Source organism: Homo sapiens, chromosome 6 (genome assembly GCF_000001405.40).
Source record: "Homo sapiens chromosome 6, GRCh38.p14 Primary Assembly".
NCBI classification, from domain to species: Eukaryota; Metazoa; Chordata; class Mammalia; order Primates; family Hominidae; genus Homo; species Homo sapiens.
In genome coordinates, this window is record NC_000006.12 from 64,373,682 (window position 1) to 64,390,051 (window position 16,370).

Here is a 16,370-nt window from a genome sequence, read left to right on the forward strand (position 1 = left end):
GGCTCACCTGGCTATCAGCAGGAGGGGTGGGTAGAGCATCTGGGTTCCTCCAGGGACAAAAGAAGTCTATGCCTGCCAGCTAAGTTCCCATAGAAGCAGGACCGTTGGACCAGAAGCTCTAGTAGGCTTTTCCCACCTGGCTATCGGTGGAGGTGGGTGGGTCATGCACCCTGCTTTCCATGTTTCCTGGGACAATAGAAGCCGTGCTCTCCAGCTGAGTTTTACAGAAGCAGGACCACAGGGTCAGAAGAGCTAATAGGCATTAGCTGCCTGGCTATCAGCAGCTGGGGTGTGTGGGGATGCCTGCCCTTCCAGGTGCTTCTAGCTGCACTCTCCAGTTGAGTTCACACAGAAGCAGGACCACTTGGCTGGAAACTCTAGCAAGCATTGCCTACGTGGCTACTAGTGGCGGGGCAGGTAAAGTGGCTGGCCCAGTTCAGGGTGAAGGGAGACCACTGGGCTGAAAGCTGGTGCCAAATTCCCTTTGGTAGGGTTGGCGGGGGGTATGGGAGGGTGGAGGTGTGGGGGGTGGGGGATGAGTGGTGTGGGGGTTAGGGCCTGGGGGTTGGAGCAATCTAATACGAGGCACCACAACTATGGCCTCTATTGGGTCTATGGCACCAGTGCTGGCAGGCTTTGTGGCCCAAGGCTTGTAGAAGTCCTTTTGAACTTGAGAATTACCTCTGCATAACATCCAAGTGGTTCTCTGCTTCAGTGTAGAAGGCTGGTGGGTGTGGGGTGGGTGCAGGGGAGCTGGGGGATTTTCTCTATCCCAGTCTTGCACAGATCCCTGTGGAGAGCATGAATGCCCCTGGGCACTCTCACTTATTCACCCTTTCCCATGTTGGAGATGTTTTCCTAGCTCCATGCTGAGGCCAGATAGGCGGGTGCCCAGCTTTGCTCTTCTCTGCTTCTTGTGTTCCCCTTCTGCTTTAATTGATCCCAACTAGTTTCTCAGATGATCAGCCTTACAGGGCCACTGCTCACTGGCCCTTTTGTTTCCTCTACGTGAGAGTGGCATACAAGAGCTGCTGCTCGTCTCCCATCTTAGCTTATGCTTTTATGTTTGGGAGAAATCTAGTACCCTGAAGCTGCCAAACGGTAAAGTAGTCCCAGCTAAGCATACAGAAAGGTACTATGGAGAGAATGAGAGAGACAGAGACAGGGAGAGGGAGAGAGCCGGCAGTCTAGTCAGTCTTCTTTTTCAACTGTCTTTGCTGAGACACGTAAATGAAAAGGTCATTTTGGACATTTCATTCCTAAAAGATTCCAAGTGGAGCAAAAAAGAGTTCTCTTCACTGACTCTTAGCAAAATTGCAGAACTGTGAGGAAATAAGTTATATCTGTTATTTTTAAGTACTAAGGTTTTGGAGTTAGTTCATTACAAAGCAATAAATAAATATCTTAGTCAGAAAGTAACACTTAAAAATTGGTTACTTAATACTTCAGATGTCCTTATGAAAATACAAAATATATTTTGTTAATTAGTATATGAATAAGTATTTTCCAATCCTGTGGTCATTTAGAAAGATTTTCCAATTAAGTATAAGAATATGTATGGCAAGCAAAGAATGACTTTTGGTATGCAGCCTCATTTGTCATTTTCTTCATCCACTTTACAGAAGCTGTCACTTGACTATATCGCAATGCTGATTTGCTATTGCTGCCATCAGAATGTCATATGTTAGCCTCAAAATTAACTCTTCATTGAAAACATGAGTTAAAGAGCTTAAGGACAGTGTGAAATTTTTCCAGACTAAATGAAAGGGTGGTAATAACTATTTATGCCTCTCGGCTAATATATGTTTGCATGTTGGACAGAGTTTAACCTAGGCTTGCTTTCTTTGTAATATACCACATGCAGGTGAGGGTGTGGGGTAGGAGATATGGCAGATACTATCTACCTACCAGAGTCTTCAGGTGCTTACAAAAAACCTGAAGACAGCTGAAGAGCCAAATTGACTCAAGACAGTTTGCAAAAAGAGGGAATTCTGGCCAATGGTAGTAAGAATGAGGAGTAAAGAAGAGGTTTGATTATTATAGATTATTTTCTCCACTTTGTATTAATAGGTTTTTTAGAGAAGGACAAAGGAAAGGAGACAGACAAAAGCAAAGATATATATGAAAGTTTAAAAAATGATACATTCTGTATAAGGCTCTATAATACACAATCTCAAACAACAGAAATGATACCAAATCAATGCAAGAGTATCCTTTTGTCAACAATTGTGTTTTCTTTCATTTTTACCAGTGAGCCTAATGCAGACTAAATTTTATTCCATTGAAATTAATACAAACCAAAAATAAAATTATATTCAATATCCTGCTATTCCATAAAAAAATTGTGAGTCCTTCTAGAGGCAGATAAAACCATGGAGATTACAAAGCAAAATAAGAAAGATCTATCATTTCAAAGAGTATGTACCATAGTGGAAGAGGACAGAAGACAAAGTGCTGATTGCAGTAAAAATAAGATAATATTTGCTAGAATAGACACAAATCTACAGGTTTCTGTGGAATCCTGTTTAGGGGAAGTTAACTCAGACTTAATTGTCAGGGAAACCTTCCTTGAGGAATTGGAGGACAGGACAACAGGAGCTTCCTGGGGGCAATTAGAGATGGTCTTCTAGGTAGAGACAAGAACTCACACTAAAGATACAGACAAAATGGGGTCTGGGGACAACTACATGGAATTACAACCCTGAGGATAAATACCCAGGCAAATGAAGGACTGGGGAAAAATCAGTGTTAGCAAACTGGAATAAAAGGAGGCTGAAGAATCTGAAATAAGTCGGTGACATAATATCTTAGAAACTTCCCTGCTCCACGCATACTGAGAATTCCAACAATTTCTACAAGGTATGTGAGGGGCCTGAGCTATTTTGTTTTCTGAGAGGTGGCTTTAGAATTCTGCACTCTCTCTAGGATAATCGCATTCCTTTTCATTGCTTCCACTACAGCTAACCTATCAGACATCGCCTCTGGGATGAAGTCATTGTCTCAGGGAAATCTCAACCTGATTTTCCCACAGGCACTTTAGACTAATTGGTACAAAAGTAGATTCGTCATTTGAGGCTTACAACAAGCCTCCAATATACATAATAAAATTTATTTTTTTTAAAGTGAATTTATCATCTTTTCTCATTGACTTGCTTCCTTTCCTATATTTTCTATCTCAGGATAGGTTTCCTCAGCTACATAATCAGCCCAGAACAGAAACCTGGCTGATATCCTTGACTACACCCACTACCTCACCTTAAAACACTGACCCTGAGAAGGCAGAGAAAGGCTTTGTGAATATTTTCATTAATGCATAAGATCCAGGAAGATGGAGATTATTCACCAGTGAATCCCCAACACAGAATAATGCCTGGCACATAGTGGATACTCTCTAGCTGGATGAATAGATAGATAGATAGATAGATGGATAGATAGATAGATAGATACATTTGTTGGATTAATAAATGAATGAATTTCTCATTTATTTTTGTCAGCTCTTATCTCATTGAAAAAAAGCATACTAATGAATTAAGATCTTTTTCAGAATATGAACTGATTCAAAAGGAGCGTCCATAGATAGTGAATCCAAAGAAACATATTAGGATTTTTAAATTTGTTATAATACTAAATGCTTTTAAAACTTTGTTTAAAACAGACATTGCATTAAAAGTCACTCAAAGTAGACCCAAAACAATGGTTTGGGTAAAAGGTGTTTGACTTTGTTATTTGTAGTGAGGCAGTATAGCGTAGGTTTTAAAAGTGTGGGTTTGAATTTTGGCCCTTGTATTCAATGACTGTGTAACTAAAGTCAGGCCATTCAGCCTCTCTGTGCCTCAATTCCCTTATCTGTGAAATGGAGATACTAATATTACTTACTGCAAAGAGTTACTTAAAACATTGAGATAGTAAATGTGAAGCAATTATAAGAGTATTTACCAAAGGGAATGTGCTTAATAACTATTAACTACTATTAGAAGGACAATAATTTTATAAAGGCATTTTGTAAAGTTGTGTTTTTGATTTTTTTTTAATGAACAAATGAGCTTCCAAAATGATCTTACATGGCTGAAACATCAGACCCGATCTCTCCATTGTGGTCTAATAAGCAAAGCAAGCGAGATTTACAATAAAGTAGATGTTGGAGCTATGCTGACTGGGTTCAAATCCTCATACCATCACTGCCTAGTTGTATAAGCTTGAACAAATTACTTGTTATTGCTGTGCTTCAATTTCCTCAGCTGTAAAATATGGGTAAGTACGCATCTACTGGGTTGTTGTAAGGATTAAATGAGCTAATATTTGTAATGAACTTACAGCTGACCCTAGCCAAACAAACAAACAAACAAAAAAAGCTACATGCTCCAGAATGCTTGCTTACTTGTTGAATGAGTGCATGAATGTCCTTTAATGTTGTATACATGATGTGTTTCCTCCCTTTAATAATAAAGATTAATGGATATAGTGTCAAAGCCTGAGGAATGGTTAACAGACAACATCAGTGACAGTGAAGAACAAGATTTCATGGAAGTATGAAAATAATTTTTGTTTTCTTATTCTAGAAGGGTAGACAAGTTACACTGTCTTAAATACCAGCAGGCTGAATATTCATTAATCTGTTTTTCTAAGTAATATAAAAATAAAACATGGTGAGTATTTTAGAAAACCAAAATGATAATTATTTTTAAACTAAATATTTAAAAAATTATTAATATTAGCATATGAACTAGGATCAAATGCTTCATAACATGAGCTTCTATTTATGCATCACAGTCAATTTCTAAACTTTCATTTCCAGAATGGAGTATATAGGACTAGAAATAACTTCAAAATTATTGTTTTATGTTTGATTAGCACAGAGTAGAATGAAATATCAATGCTGGGGGGAAACTTAAAATAATAGTAAAGGATAACAGTTATTAAGTGTTAAATGTGCAATATCTTAATCATTCTTCCTTAAACCTTAAGAAGGTAGAGTCTCTATTTTGCAGGTAAAGAAAAAGCCCAAGCAAGCATAAATGGCTTGTCCAAGGCACCATGGCAATGAATTGAGGGAGCTAGGAATCCAACTCCAGACCTACAATTCTTAATCCCACATCTCTACTGGCCCTTTTGAGTTAGCACTTGTAGTGATATTACTGGCTTCATAAGAAAGCACTATTGCATGTCATGGAGAAAATGGAGCATATCTCAAAAACCTTAAGTTGACAAAGTCTTAGCACTAAGAGGATTGGTTTTTAATTATCAGAAAGCTAGTTTTGTCATATCATGCCCTGTAACTAGATACTGTTCAGTTTCTGTCTTCGAAGGAGCAGTGTAGTTACTGATAAAGCAATGTAATATTTTACAATTGACTTTACAAAGTACTTTATTTTTATCTTTATGGATTATGCTGAAAATTCTCTAAATTCATGCTTCACATATTTTTTTCAGTTCTCACCCTCCTTAAATTTTACATTATGATTTTCTTATGTAAGATCATTCACCTGGGGTTTCTGTTCTATAGCCTTTAGCTAAATTAGCCTTAAGTCCTTAAATTTCACTAGAAAACTATCTCCCAAATTAATAGCCCCAAAGCACTTAAGCCAAAAATTGATTTTATTTTACTTGCTGTTGAGTTACATAGACCACACTGCAAAATTAAACAGGGTTTTTAAATTGTGATCTATATTACTAGAATTCCCTAACTAATATAAACCAGATTACTTCTTGTTTTACTTTACCCATTTTTCCCTAACCACTTGCAAGGGAATATTGATGGACTTTGATTTGATAAATCTATTAACATAGAAAAAAGTGAATATATATTCATTTGTCTCTATTTTCTTCTGTAAATTTATTTCGTAGTTTAAACTATAGACCTGAGATGTGTTATTATATGGTTTTGTTGATTTGTTTTTGTTAGTTTTAAAATGAAAAGCCTTTGAGATCTTTTAGAATTAAGTGAAAATTTAAGCAGAACAGAAGGAACACCAGATGGGAGTCTCTCAAGAAGTGTCCTCAGGGATATCACATGAAAGTGAGGTGATCTTAGGTGAGCGGAACACAATAGAATTTGTGACTGAGATAATATCTTAATACAAAGAATGTCTGTGCAATTTATATGCTGAGGAAATGGTATGTGACATATATATGTACATATGCCTACATATATATGCATAGAATCATCGTGAACTGGAATAAACTTAAAAAAATAACGTAGTCCAACTTCATCATTTATGGAAGAGTAGCTTAGGGGAAAGAGATTTCAAGTAATGGTTAACAATGTCACAAAACTCATTATTTTTTGGCAGAGGCATGACTAAAAATCAGGTGTCCTTGTTTCAAGCCTGGTATTTTTTCTATCAACTCAAATTGTGTCTGGGAAAAGAATATAAATTTATTAAAATATAGATTTTCCCCCATGTAGCAATATTTGCTGATTTGCAACTTCAATTTTTTTTTTATTCCAGGCAGAGTTACAGAGCATTACATTATAGACATCATTCTCTCTGAGGGTAAAGATTTTGGCTTGAGTACCAAAAGGCTATGAAGCATGCTTAATAACTATATGCTTGAAACAACAACTTGTACAAACAAATGTAAATGTGTTAATTTGTGTTTGGGATTTCAATAATCACCTCATGTATAATAGCTGTAGGAAACTACTTGGCCCTCTATCTGGTTTCTTTTCATTTATAGCTTCATCACTTTTCAAACTCAGTACTGATGTTGCTCAAAGCTGAGTGATGTACGGACATTTTTCACAGAAAAATAAGTTTCAGAAATCTTCAGTATTCCCTTACTACTAATTTTAGTAAAATATTACTATTTTATACACTTTATGTGAAATATAAACTTAGATACAATTTCCTCATATTTATTGCCTCACAAAATTATAAAACCAAAACAATTTGACAAGCTAAATAGAAACAAGTCCACAAAGTCATAAAATTGAAGTTAGACTATTTAACTTAATGTAATTATTGGTATGAATCTGGTAAAATTAAATTGCTATACACCAAATAATTTTAGCACTGATTGTTATAATACAGGCACTTTAAAAAATAAAGATTATGGCCGAGCAGGGTGGCTCACGCCTATAATACCAGCACTTTGGGAGTCCAAGGCAGGTGGATCGTGAAGTCAGGAGTTCGAGACCAGCCTTGCAAATATGGCGAAACCCGTCTCTACTAAAAATACAAAAAGCAGCCAGGAGTGGTGGTGGGTACCTGTAATCCCAGCCACTCAGGAGGCTGAGGCAGGAGAATTGCTTGAACCCGGGAGGCGGAGGTTGCAGTGAGCCGAGAAATCGTGCCACTGCACTCCAGCCTGGGTGACAGAGCAAGACTCCATCTCAGAAAAAAAAAAAAAAAAAGATTACAACACAGATATTACATGTATAATACCCACAGGTGTATATGCATACAAATATATAATGGATATGAGGATATAAGTATTTTAAAGACTAGTGATAAAATGAACACGCATGTTCTTTTTACTAACTTTCTTTATACTAACGTTCTTTATACTAACGGTTCTTTATACTAACTCTACCTAGTTAGTATAAGGCATTATGAGCAATGGTGATACCTGCTTTGAGCCTTAAAAACTACTCTTTGATCTCTTCTCCGTTCTTACGTGGTTATCCCTGTACTGATTTCTAAGTTTTCTAGTCCTTTATTTCTTTATCATCTACCAAACATATATATGCACACACACACATACACACAAAAATATATCAGAGATTACATATTGTTTAAGTTCTCCTATTTGGGAAATTTATATAATGGGGATATTTGTTTATGACTTTCTTTTTTTCTCTTCCATGTTATTTTTTTGAGATGTATTCATGTTGATGTGTACAGGTGAGAATCACTGATTTTCACTACTGCATATGTTTTTTGGTATATACAGTATACATACTACTGTAAGTGGACGTTATTGTTGTTTTTACTTTTTATATTATAAAGACTTTTGTTATGAACATTCCAGTACCATGTCTCCTTATATATACATCAAAGAATTTCACCTAAACAGGAAAATTTTGGTGTATTGGATATGTACATCTTCAACTTTTTAAGTGATGCCAGATGGTTTTTTAATGCAGATTTAGAAAAACTATATATGTATTAAACTTTTCCCTGCAGTTGCAATTTACATACTTATCAGTTAAGTAAGCAAATTCATCTAAAATATCCCCTTTTTGTCAGGGCAAAACATTAGTTCTTAAAAGAATACAGATGGTGTTCCTTTACTCATCATCATGGGCTTTAATAGAGGTGGTCATTTCTTTTATAAGTGTATTAATAATATCCATATCAAAGAATCCAGTGGATGTCTTTCAGCCCTTATTCTATTTTGTTTTTTCATTTTTGGTTTCAGTTTTAGCCCTTATTCTTGCTAGACTTCACTGCAGCAATATTGAACAGCCCCTCCTTCTCAAAACTTTGTTCTTCTGGCTTTAATGATAATACATTTTCTTGGCTGTGCCCTTGCCCCTCTGCCTGTTTTTCTGCCTGATATTGAATTACTTTCTTATTAAATGTCAGATTTCCTCAGGACTTTGTTCTGGACCTTCCTATCTCATTCTCTTCACTCTCTCCTGAGGTTATGTCATCTGGCCTCACGTATTTAAATACTATAGCCTGAGAACTTCCTGAATCATGAATGTAAGTGTTAACTTGGTAACCTTCCCTACAAGCCTCAGAAACACCTCAAACTTAAAAGTGTCCAAACTAATTATCTTGTTATTCTCCCCTAAATATTTTCTTCTCAATCTTCCCCATCTTAATGATGACCCTCACCTCCATTTAGTTGCTTAATCCAGAAGTCTGAGGCTGATGTTTGACTCTCCCTCTCACATCTTCATAGGTTTACATGTGCAAGTGTACAGTTTATTTCTGCATTTTCTAATTAGATTAAATAATTAGGATGATATAAATACAGTGGTACATCTAAACCAGAGAGTGCTTGAATAGAAGAAACTATGATTAAATGAATGGAGACCGTTTCAAACTAGAAGCACACACAAATGGAGAGATCAAACAGAGGTCCGAAGGATGTTGAAAACACACAGATTAAGAGAGAATCTTGAGTGGAGACAGATCCAGGGACAGGCCCTTCCGGACTATTGGCACTCAAGAGTTTTATAAGGGCAGGAATACATAGATGCAGAGCTGAAAAAAAGATGCATCAGAGTAAAAAATGGGAAGAGTGGTGGGTGGGAAAAAGTGGAGTGGTGGGAAAAGAGGTTTCCTTCTGTTGGGTAGGAGCCAGTTTCTGCTGCTCCAGGGAGTGGAGTCCAATCCATGGTGTATTGTTGTCTCACTAAGAAAGGCAAGGCCTGCCTGGGCACGGTGGCTCATGCTTGTAATCCTAGCTATTTGGGAGGCTAAGGTGGATGGATCACTTGAGCTCAGGAGTTTGAGACAAGCCTGGGAAACATAGAGAAACCCCATATCTACAAAAAATAAAAATTAAATTAAATTTAAATAGCAGGGTATGGTGGTACATGCCTGTAGTCCCAGCTACTAGGGGGGCTGAGGTGGGAAGATTGTTTGAGCTCAGGAGGTCGAGGCTGCAGTGAGCCAAGATTGCACCAGTGCACTTCAGCCTGGGTGACAAAAGTGAGAACCTGTCTCAAAACAAACAAACAAACAAAAAATAAGGTGGGTCCTCATGTAGGAATAAATTGTAAATTGAGAGTGATTCTTATACGTGCAAGGAATGGGAAATAATTCTTATTGGATGAGTCTGCATCTGATAATGTCTTGACTTGTGATTCAGTGCCCTCAGCAGAATAGACACCAGATGCCCAAGTCCAAATGGTAGTCCAGCGGAATAAGCAGATGGGTGAATGAATGAATCATTTACCACATAACTTCTAGAAGGAGCAATGGGTCATAAAACATGGTAGTGAAACCTTGATGTCTCTATTACTTTGCTTATGTTTATCAGAGGTTTGGGTTTATTTTCACCAGTAAGTGGACCCCTATAAATGGCTATTTAAGAGACTTACATTTGTTGTGCAGTGATTCTCTTTTTACACATTGTTGGACAGAAAATGAGGACAGGGTAATGATTAACTTTTATCCCTGTAATTTACAAAACCCAAAAGTGTTGAATGTTGTTACCTTTCTTGATTTCTTCAATGGTGTGTTTTAATTTTTTCTAATTATTTTGTGTCCATTAGACAAGTGTCTTTGAAGAGCTGAAAAAGGTTGACACGCATCCTTTTACAGAATATCATAAACACATTTAGTGAGGTGCCACTAGATACATATAATGTCTCTAACTTGATAAGCTGGGACAAGTAATATAAGCAACCCAAATTTTCTACAGATAACTGAAGTGGTTTCTTTCTTCATTTGTTTTTCAGGAATCTCTCACAAGTCCTTAAAGAGAATCCTGTTTTTATGTTTTAGACATTTCATAGTAATTTATTTTGGCTAAAGGATTTTGATGGCTAATGATTGACAGGGCTTTTTATAAAAGTGAATGGAGCAAACTAATTATTGACTTTGTAAGTCAATGTCTTGAACATACCTGAAGTGCATAACACTCATTTGCTTTACCAGTGTCCCTATTTCCAAATGGATTCACTAGAAATTAAAAAAAATTAAATTGTTAAACTTCTTTACTGTGTTGAAATTATAAACTAATTTGAAAATTAAGATAATGTTTACATTTTTGGAGTCGGTCACTAATTCTTCAAAAATTCCAGTCAAATATAATAGTACATGCAATCACACATGTGTTTTCAATCCTAGTGACTTACTTACATCTGAAAAAAAGGTAGCATCTTTCTAGAACTTATAATATCAACTTCTGCATATATAAAAAACAAATCTAATTGATTAACAATATTTATTTATTTCCATAATTATTTTATTTCCTCTCATACTTAGCAAAGAGAATAGCTGGTAACATCTGCATTTACTAGGAATTAAGATTTGGTGTCCTTAACTAACTTGGACCCGAAAGCAAGAGTCCATGCACTGAAAAGTGTAAGCAATTAAAGCACTACCAAGGAAAGTGTTTTTCTACCACCAGAGAGAAGGCATTTACTCTCAGACCTTGAAAGTTATCATCATTTATGGTCATCAGGGGAAGCAGAGTTTTTCACACCCCAGGCACAAAATTGAAAGTGTCTGTTTCATTCTCTTCTCACATCCTGAGCTCTGGGTGATTTTGTTAAAGGAAGCATTAAACAACCTGTCAGCACATACACATTGGATTAGGGACTCTTATCATGTGGAGGGGCTCTGGCCAGTTCAGAAAGACATTATTGGAAACTTAGGGGTGAGAGCATAAATGTAACTTAACACTTTTTGGCTCGAGGAATCAACTATAGTTCTTTTCCTTAGTGTTTTATATTACAAACCTGTTGTTTTTAATTTTCTGAGCACTAACAGCCTACTGTGCTTAAACAGCTTTTAATCAGAACACAATGATTAGATAGAGCCTGCATGATACTTAGATATTCAGAGGAGCTGCATTGCCCAGAAACATATTCAGAAGGCTGAATTTCCTATCTTTCTTTTTCTGATTCATCATACGAGTTCTCTTTAAGAATTATCATCTAGATACATTTTACAGTTTGTATCAGTCATCTGGTATATAGCAATATAAGTGTATGTCTCAGATACATATTCTAGCACACACACATACACACATAGTTACTGTGACACTGTAACAGTATAAAAAAGAATAAAAAATCAATGAGGGGCTGACATAAAATCTTTCAACTACAGCATATTTAACAAGGAGGGAAAACCTGCTTAGCTGGCTGCCTTTTTAATTTCAAGGTAACTTTATTGGTCCAAATACTGAATGTTCCTCCAAATTTGATTATAACAAATGTCCAGTTCCCTTACATCACAGGATGAATGTCGAGTTTTTTAGTGAGATAATCCTTTAGTAAAGGCCAATGTTTCAGACAAGGTTTTAGGAGAAAAAGTCTTTCGAAATTTAGTCAATTATTATCATCATCTTTCTGCAATTTCAAAACTCTGTCCTCCCCTACATAACAACCTCTCTGACTTATTAACAAGCTTCTAGAAAAATAACCTAAAACCACTCTGTTGCTTCTTCCAGTTCATTTATTCTTCCTCAGAATATTACAATTTGATTTTTGTTAACATTTTTTCTCCAGAAACTGGTGGGTGAACTTTTGTAACATTGGTGTTCAACAGATGCTTCTTTTTCCATCTTTGGTTCTTGTGACATTTTTTTCCTTTGTCTACGGCCAGCCTCTCTATTCCTTAACTAATTTGGCATGTACCTCTTTCTTAGCCTAGTTCTTGATTGCTGATTCCCAATTCTCAGCCTTCTTTTATTTTAATCCTCAAAATCAATTCAATCAGTTATTATGGCTTCCACCATCTCCTGTGCAGACTCCCACAGCCATATGTTAATGATCTTTTGTGAACCGAAGGCCCGTATTTCAAATGACTTGTGCCTCACAACATTCCACTAATAGGAATGATATTCAGCAGGAACACACACAAAGGACTGATGGATTAGTGGTGATGGCAAGCCAGTTGTTAAATATTTGAAAATCATTTCTGCCCAAAAGCAACTGTATTAGTCTGTTCTCACATTGCTAATAAAGACATACTTGAGACAGGGTAATTGATAAAGGAAAGAGGTTTAATTGACTCACAGTTCCACACAGCTGGTGAGGCCTCACAATCACAGTGGAAGGCAAATGTGGAGCAAAGTCACGTCTTATATGGCATCAGGCAAGAGAGCTTGTGCAGGGGAGCCCCCATTTACAAAACCATCACATCTCCTGAGACTTATTCACTACCAGGAGAACAGTATGGGGAACAGAACTACCCTCATGATTCAATTATCTCCACCTGGCCCCACCCTTGACACATGGAGATTATTACAACTCAAGGTGAGATTTAGGTAGGGACACAGCCAAACCATATCAGCAACTCAAATGCAATGATAAACCTGCCGTTTTCCCTATAAATAATCCTAGATTCATTCCCCATTTTGAGAATGGGACTATAAATTCTATGGTTACATAAGCCAACCTGGTCATTAAAATTCCAAATTTTCTATATATTTTTTGCCAATAATTATTTTTAAGTTCAATAGCATTCATAATTATTCTCCCACCCTTATTGCCAAAATACCTTTTTTGTTTAATTATTCTGAACAAACCTGACTTTGCCATTTCTTACGATGTAGTCCTAACCCCTCCAGTTGTACACTTTGGTTGCTATCAGAGTGAACATAGCATGATGACAATTCCTACTCAAACTTTTTAAATGGCTCCCCCATTTAAGAAGTATGTAATGTATAGTATATGTATATGGCAGCAATATGTAAATATATACCATTTTGCATTTTACATAGGATTAATTATTCTCTGGCTCCCACTCACCTATCCAAAATCAAGTGTTCTTTCTGCTCACTTCATATCAAACCCCATGTCTCCATAATAATAAATTATGTCTACTCCACCTCCCCATCCCTCAGACCTTTCCATTACCTAAGTCTGTGTATATGTAATATTGTCTCTGTCTACAATGACAGCCTACATATTATTTACAAGGAAGACACTTGATCTTTCTTCAAATTTCTAATTACAACTCCTCTACTTCTTCAGAGAGGTCAGAAGACATCTTTTTCTATTTTTCTATATTGCTTCTGCATGTTTATATTTATAATAAAGTAAATGCTCAGCTATATTTATATTCAGGGGTAGCTAATTGAGTTGAGATATTACACTCAATTAATGTATACTCAATTAAATTTAGTTTTATATTAAAATTTATATTTTATTTGGGAAAAAGTATAGTTATGAAATAAGAGGACAAATGTAATTTATGAAAGGTTTTATTTATGTTTCATCCATTCTTTAACTGAGGCCTTTATTTAAAAGCTGTTCATTGAACTCCAACAATGTGACAGGAACTGTCCTTGCCTTGGTGTATAAAAAAATAAACAAAACATATTTTTTACTATCATGGAACTTTTAGAATGGTTTCATTTACGAAAAAGTCAATGAAGCACATTAATGTTATAGAAAAAGTCACAAATATCTGTTTAATGATCAATAAACATACTGCTAATGGAGTAAATCTGAATCTAAATCTCTGCGTGCTTACAGATACAGAATTATCTTATTTCCTTAAAGGCATATGTATCACATCAAATATGCTCGTCAATTTTGTTTTTATGTCTATTTTTGTTTTATTTTATCTTGTATACTACGGAGTCATGATATTTACAGTAACTAGATGTATGTATACCAATTTGCATTATTTGTGGGACTGTGAAACAATAGCATTTTATATTTCCAATAATATAAAAATAGTATGTTCAAACAGGTAAAATGCAATGGTAAATATAATAAGGGAAAAGATTAATAAATGTAATAAGCTACTGGTATACTTAACAACCTTCAATTTTTAAAGCAATTTGCTGCAACAACATAAAATGGAACCAAATAATAGCATTTAAGTCAGCTTTCAAGCTATTTTCCTTAAATATAGCTTAATAATGAAGACAATAAGCTAATTATCTAAATGGAAATTTAAAGAGTGGGCTGGCATGTGGGAAAAACTCTGTAATAAATGTTCTCACATTTTGGTAATCTCATACAAAACACAGACTGGGGATGGTCTTCCAATTCCTTTTCTCAAACTATATTTTTGGTGTGTTATTAAGTGAATCTTTTGAAATATCCAGTGAAAATCACTATCTTAGTGGACAAATCACACATGCTAAATAGTATTGAGAAATGTAATACACATACTATAGCCATAAGATGGAAAAACAGACTGACATTGGAGCAATTTTTTAAAAAGAACAGTAAACTTCTATTATACTTTGGTATGATAGATAAAAATATATATGTTAGTAGAGTCACTCAAAAACTTTTTTGAAACCATGCAGATGGCCCCACTAGCCAGAAAATATTTCTAAAGTTTTTCTTTTTCATTTATCAATATGATGATTTTCAATAATTATTTTCAATAATTAATATTTTAAAACATCTATAGAAATACCTGGATTTTCCCATGAAGGTCTGGAAATCCACCAATGAAGACAGATCCTGATTTTGGCAGGGGTTTTCCGAGTACATGATTGATAGATTCGCATATTTGTGTATTCCTCCCTAAAATAGTCAGCTCAGCGTTACATGGATCCAATTCTTGCCTGTAACCATTTAAGAAAGAAATGGTTTTAGTATAAGTCATATAAACATTTATCTGACAAATTAATTAAACTATTATCAAAAGAATAATTTAAGTAAATAGATTATTTCACAATAAAACAAAGCCAGAAGCAGATTAATCTGTTATAAATTAGAATCCTTAATGCTTTAAGTACATAAACACAAAGTTACAGTTTGACAAAACAACAAATTATAGCAATCAACCAATGAAATAAATAAATCCTGATAAACAGATCTTTCTCAATTGTAACTGAAACAATGATGGATTATAATATTCCATTTTAGCTTTTTACATTATTAAATTTTCTGTATGAGTGAAAAATATTAAAAAGAATCAAATTTCAATGCAGTCATACAGTGTACAATATATACTTAGGTGGAAAACAGATATATTGCAGACAGTAATTAGTTGTAGAAATATAAATTATACCAATAAGCAAAGCACAGAAAAATTAACAAATGAATAAATCAAATATAACTTAATTAGGGAGATCAGAGTAATAATTTCCATATGCCCATTCTTTTAGAAAGATGAAAAAGACAAAATACTTTGTCAATACTTTAACATGTAGATATGCATGTGTCATTTACTCTAGCCATATGTTTAACTAATTGTTTAATCCAGAGATTGGCAAACTATACCCTAGGCCAAATCTTGCCTGTCATCTCTAAGTAAATAAACTTTAATTGGCACACAGCCATATGTTTCTTTACATATAGTCTATGGGTTTTTTCATAACAGAATTGAATAATTGAAACAAGACTTTAAGTCCCAAAAGCCCAAAAATATTTACTATCTAACCCTTATAGAAAAAGTTGGTAGATGCACTATTCAATTTATCTATTAACCAAGCAAGTAAGCTTTATCATAATCCTTTTCAAAATAATAGTACACATTCTTGGGAGGAGCCAAGATGGCTGAATAGGAACAGCTCCGGTCTACAGCTCCCAGCGTGAGCGACGCAGAAGATGGGTGATTTCTGCCATTTCCATCTGAGGTACCGGGTTCATCTCACTAGGGAGTGCCAGACAGTGGGCGCAGGTCAGTGGGTGTGCACACCGTGCGCCAGCCGAAGCAGGGCAAGGCATTGCCTCACTTGGGAAGTGCAAGGGGTCAGGGAGTTCCCTTTCCGAGTCAAAGAAAGGGGTGATGGATGGCACCTGGAAAATCGGGTCACTCCCACCCGAATAC

The 16,370-nt window shown here is 35.6% G+C and overlaps 1 protein-coding gene across 2 annotated transcripts in view; it reads right to left on the reverse strand.

The window, feature by feature from the left end:
- The window catches only part of EYS (eyes shut homolog), a 1,987,247-nt gene that overhangs the window by 653,702 nt on the left and 1,317,175 nt on the right, over positions 1-16,370 (reverse strand). For both annotated transcript variants that reach the window (NM_001142800.2, NM_001292009.2), the window contains exon 29: positions 15,009-15,159. In NM_001142800.2, coding sequence (NP_001136272.1) covers positions 15,009-15,159 — 151 coding nt within the window. The remainder of the gene's footprint in view (positions 1-15,008; positions 15,160-16,370) is intronic.